Source organism: Homo sapiens, chromosome 13 (genome assembly GCF_000001405.40).
Source record: "Homo sapiens chromosome 13, GRCh38.p14 Primary Assembly".
In the NCBI taxonomy this organism is placed as follows: domain Eukaryota; kingdom Metazoa; phylum Chordata; class Mammalia; order Primates; family Hominidae; genus Homo; species Homo sapiens.
In genome coordinates, this window is record NC_000013.11 from 105,410,496 (window position 1) to 105,416,589 (window position 6,094).

Sequence of the window (6,094 nt, forward strand, 5' to 3'; positions counted from 1 at the left end):
AACGAAATGTATTTGTCTTTTTCACTGTGCTAACATTGCATAAGGGGAGCAAAACTAGTGGCGCATCAATGGCGAAAGTGCAGATGAAGAATCGAGGAGCTACCGCACTAGGTGCCACTGAAGTCTTCACTGCTACACACCCAGTGTAAACAAACAACCAAAAACGATGCTGCTTTTAGTTAAGCACGTCCTTGATGAAGCAGCGAAAAGTGTTCATTATGTGGAATTTCCATCCTGAGTACATGCCTTTTTCACATCCTCAGATGAAATCCAGCACTTCTGCTGCACGGCAGCGTGACAGTTGACGGCAGGGGGCGCTCATGCGGTCGTTGGAGTGAGAGTTCGCTGCCTACTTTTTGGTAGCTCTTCGCTTCTAATTGAGAGAATGACTGACAAACCATGGTAATTCATAAGTAGGCATTTGGCAGACTTTTCTTTTTCAAACATGAACAAAGTGACCCTAAGGGAAACATCTGACAGTACTTGTTATTCATTATAAAATTCTAGCTTTCAAGTGAAAAGCAGAATTTCGGAAAACGTGTGTGTGCCACCATTAGCTTGGCAGCTTACGGCTTCCACACTTAAAACTCCTTTTGAGAACAGTGGTGGTATTAACAAGTGTTATTTGTATCATAAAATGTATCAACAATTGGAAAATCTGCAAAGCTTCATGAACAAACCTTTTCCAAATGACCAATGCAAAATTCTGCAAAATCACTTTTGATTAAAAGATCTCTTCAAAGTGAAAGAACGACCAATCAATTTTAATGTAACAGGTTATAAGAATTTCACTGATACAGTTCCGGATTACACATTGCAACAAACATGTAAGAAATTACCACTTGTTTAGTGCTGATGTAGTTATCTATCTATCATCTATCTATCTATCTGTACACATATATATACACACACATATATATACATATATATTCACAATTTTCTGAAAAGGTAATTGAAATACTCCTCTCTTTTCCATATCCGTGCAAGGCAAAATTTCCTTCATACATTTTAACCAAAACAAGAGCCTGCAATAGACTAAATGCTGGAGCAGATGTAAAAATCTGAAAATCTTCTCTTCAGTCAGATGTCAAAATATTTGCAAAAATATGAAATAATTTTACTCTTCTCTAAAATGTTTCTAATAGAAAATATTTTAATACATGCATTATTTATATTAAAATAGTTTATTATTTCAACACATGCTTAAAATATTTTTCTCAGTTTAATATCTAATAAAGTGAATATTGATGGATGTATCCTATATAAAAAATAGTTCTTTGGGGTCCTCAATAATTTTCAAGAGTATAAAAGTGTCCTGAAATAAAAATGTTTTCAAATCATTGATCTTTTCTAGAAGAAGCATGTCTCTCTTAATTATTGTTAAATTATTTGAACCTAGGACAGTGCCCAGCACAAGTAGTTGCAGAATGAATATTCAATAAAGGCAGGAATTAAACATGTATTCAATCTTAACTGACTATAAAATTGCTAGTAATAATTTAACAAGACATTGTTTATAAAAGCTAAATGCATACTTGTGTATATCTACAAATATATATAGTCAACTCTTCAGGTTGTTTTACTTTAGCATTTTTACTGACATATTTTTCACATAAGCAAAATTCACCAGTTACAAGAGTATATGTTAGTGTTTTGTTTGTTTGTTTTAGTATATTCACTATGCTCTGCAACAATAAATATGAAATCCAGAATTTTCTGATAACCCAAAAAGAAACCCTGTACATGTTAGCTGTTAATGGAAATCTCCCGCCAGCCACTGGCAACCACTAATCTATTTTATGCCTCTGTGCCTTTACTTGTTCTGAACATTTCTTCTGTATGGAATCATACATTATGTGGTCTTTCGTGTCAGACTTGTTTCACTTAGCATAATATTTTCAAGGTTCATCATGTAGTATGTAACACTACCGCATTCCTTTTTATGATGGAATAATATTCTATTGTATGAATATAATGGACATGTGCCTTTTTTCTTCTTTTACCTATAATGAATATGCTGCTAGGAATATTGGTGTATAGTTTTGTGAGATAATTTGTCTTACTTCAGATATGGCTTTGTTGTGTCCCCACCCAAATTTCATCTTGAATTGTGGTTACCATACTTCCCACATGTGGAAAGGACATGGTGGGAGATAATTGAATCATGGGGGTGGTTTTCTCCATACTGTTCTCATGGTAGTGAATAAGTCTGATGAGATCTCAATGGTTTTATAAGGGCAAAGCCCCTTTCACTTGGCTCTCATCCTCTCTTGCTGGCTGCCATGTAAGACATGTCTTTCACCTTCTGCTGTGATTGTGAGTGAGGCCTCCTCAGCCACGTGGAACTGGGAGTCCATTAAACCTCTTTTATGTTATAAATTACCCAGCCCCGGGGATGTGTTTATCAGCAGTGTGAAAATGGACTAACACACTTCTCTCAGGCATTTACCTAGCTGCGGAATTGCTGGGTCATATGGTAATTCTATGTTTAACTTGTTGAGGAACTGAAAACATTTCTTTTTTCATAGTGGCTGTACCATGTTTCATTCCTACTAGCAATGTATGAGGATTCCGATTACTCTACATCCACACCAATAGTTGTTTTGTTTCTGTTTGCTTATTTTTTAATTATAGCCACCTAGTAGGTGCAAAGTGCTATTTCATTGTAGGTTTGATTTGCATTCTCTAATGACTAATGCTAGTATCTTTTCACTGCTTATTGGCCATTTGTGTATCTTCTCTGGGGAATAGCTTAATATTGAACTTTGTTCATCTTTTAATTGAATTGTGTTTTTACTGCTGATTTGTAAGAGTTCTTGAAGCATTCTAGATACTTAATACTTGTCAGACATATGTTTGCAAATATTTTCTCCTATTCTGTTACTTGCTTTTCATTTTCTTGATAGTATCCTTTAATGCATAAAAGTTTTTAATTTTGATAAAATCTAATTTATCGATTTTCCTTTGGTTGCTTGTGCTTTTGGCATCATATATAAGAACTCATTCCCTAATAAAAACTTTTGCATATTTTCACCTATGTTTCTTTCTAGGAGTTTTATATTTATACTTATTAAATTTAGATCTTTGATCTATTTTGGGTTAGTTTTTGTATATGGCATGAAGTGAAGTAGGTGTTCTGATTCATTATTTTACAGGTGGATATTCAGTTTCTCCAGCAAGTATTTTATTTATAATATTTACTTGGTAGTGTTCCCTTGGTATGTGGTGAATGAACCCAACAGCCTTGTGTGGAAGCTCCTTTTATTCTATTTTATTTTATTTTTTTGGTCTGCTCAGTACATTTCTCCTTTTCTCTTATTTTCTCTAACAGATTCTGTTCTTCTTAAGCTGTCTGTCATTCAAAGATCTTTTTTGGCTTGCTCTGGTTGGGTCCTGTTGGCATAGCCTATCCAAATAAGATGACATGTTGCCAAAGCTACATATCTTGTTATTTAAAATAAGGCATAAAATTTGCTTACAGACTGGATTTTAAAGGAAAAATGTAACTTTACATAGTATCTGTCTTTGAATCATTTACAGAGTGACCTGAACACCTTCCTGGTTTGAGAAGATTAGAAGAAGAATCTCTATCAGGACCAGTCTTCAGCCATAGGGGTTCTGCTTCTCGGCTTCTATAAACAACCAGACAAATAGTGACGGCCAAAGAAACTGTAGGGAATTCATAGAATTTGTAAAAACTTGAAAAATTAAATCCTACATTTAGACCCAGATCTCTTAACATTATTTATGTTATGAAATAATAGTAATAGTAAAGGAAGAGTACAAGAGCAAAACAACAGATATATCCTACTGAAGTAACTTATGATTCACTTTCTACTAAAAGTATATAGAAAAATGTAGTGTTGAATTAGGAACACTGTACAGGAAAAAAATGGATAAACCTAGTTTTTAAACACATTTTCACCTTGTTTGTCTGACAAATAAAAGAAAAATAGAAAAGTGTATCTGATACCACATCTTAGATTTTAATCTGGAAAAATCAAATACTAAACTGAGATCTTTGAGCTTACCTGGTCCAGATAAAGAAATTAAAGTCCAGAGGAAAAAATCATTTTGTCAAGGGCACATCTCTAGAGATGGAAGTTAGATGGAGAGCTAGAACGAGAACCTGTTGTGGTCTCACTTCCAGATAATGTTTTCAACCACAATACCACAATATCACTGCCTATATTTATAGTTCCCATGGCTTTTTCTGCTCTTTTTCTTGTTACGTATGGAATATTAAGAGATACCATCACAAGTCTCTTGTCTAAGAAGAAAGGCAAGAATAACAGCTACAATTTCTTTGGAAATACACTGTTAAACTGAGTCTCATTTTTGCAAGATTGCAGATTTCTTTTGAATCAAAAATTATAGTTTCTAAAAATAGCTATGAGTCTGAATTGTGCACATGATTTTTGTATCATCTAATATTTTGAAAAATTAAAGGGAATGGAATGAAATCTCTATATTTAAAACTTTTTCACTTTTGCAAGAGCAGTTTGGTTATATTTATTTATCCACCTAATATTTATGGGGTGCTTAATATTTGAGCATATTTTTATTTTTTATTATATTTTGCAGAGATAAAACAGAAACTCAGTTTAATAAAGCCAAGCAAAAATCAGTGAGGGGTAGTATATTGCCATGAATATAAGATTTATAAAATAGAAATTAAATATATTTCTGAATCATTAATTGGCCTATGGTTAGTACAAAAAACTACTAAAATAATATTTGAAGGATACTACATAATAAAATAGCCATCCTTTTAAAGCCATGACATCTCATGTATTGCTAATAACATAAAATCCAGTTGATAAACTTTTAAAAATAGTTTATATAATTCTGCTTGATGATGCAATAGACTTAGAATTGAAAGTGATATTAGATCACGTTTCAAGGTGTGCCAAATATCTTTCTAAAATTAATACTAAAATAGTACATAGAGTGTTTATATTTCACATGAAGTCTTTTTCTCTCCAGACATGACACTATTCTAAACTCGTAAGTCAAGATTAATTCAAAGAAAGGTTGGCCAATATAAAGATGTATCTGCTAAAATTATGTCACAGTGTCAATAGAATATATTTTTTAATCACTTTGTCCACATTCTATGATATTACACAAATCTTGACAAGTTTTAGTTTGAGATAATTGCAGTATTTCTTATAATTTTTATCAAACCACTGAAATTTGGGTATTTAAATCCATGTCACACATGGACTCATCTTAAACTGACACCACAATATTCAACTATGATCAATGGAAGAAAAGAGGCCCTTACTAAAATGAAGCATCCATTAGTTAGTTCCACTACAGCTGCAAACCTTTGATCATGACGGGTATTCTAGGAAACATCTTTATGTGGTAGGTTTTCTTCAATATATGGACTTTAGCTTTTCAGGACAAAAACTCTACACAGTGTGGGCAACCCAGATAGCAGTTCCTTGGTGAAAACACACTAACAAAGCTCACGGGAGAACACTTTTTCCAGGAGCATGTAAATACATTTGGTTACAGTGAAAAATAAATCTGCTCGGAAGATGAACTGCTTACATTGGCTGGTCAGTTTAGGTGCTCTGCCCTTAAATATCTATTTGAGCCACCTGGATCTACGTTCCAGTAAAAGATCATGTACTATTTGGCAGCCCACAATTAATTCATATGTTAAGGAGATGTCATAATATCTGCCCTGCTAATTCACAGTACTTCTGTAAAGGTAAAATAAGATTAATCATATTAAAATATACATAATCTTTCAAGAGAAGAAAAGATCTTAACCTAAACAGGAAAAGAAGCAAAGGGCTCTATATTGTAAATTAAAAAATTAGATTTTATGAAAATAGACTTTTCCATCCCTGTAAGAACATACACATAAGAACATATAAATACCTTTGCTTTAAGTATTTCCTTTTATTGCATGATATTCAATGCAATCTTGTTTTTATCTGAAGCTTTGTTAAGCTCAAGATACTGTTAAGATAAATTATACCATTTTAGTTATCATTTACCACTGCTGATAGTACATTTTTTTAAAAGTCGTCAAATTTATGAGTACCTCTGAATTTCAGCAAAAGTATATGTAATATCT

At 32.9% G+C, this 6,094-nt stretch overlaps 1 long non-coding RNA gene across 1 annotated transcript; it reads left to right on the forward strand.

Annotated features, from left to right (window-relative positions):
* Positions 1-320: 320 nt before the first annotated feature.
* LOC105370344 (uncharacterized) lies at positions 321-3,729 on the forward strand. The gene is made up of 2 exons (XR_931697.2): positions 321-402; positions 3,541-3,729. It is a non-coding gene; the product is annotated as an uncharacterized LOC105370344 (long non-coding RNA).
* Positions 3,730-6,094: the final 2,365 nt, after the last annotated feature.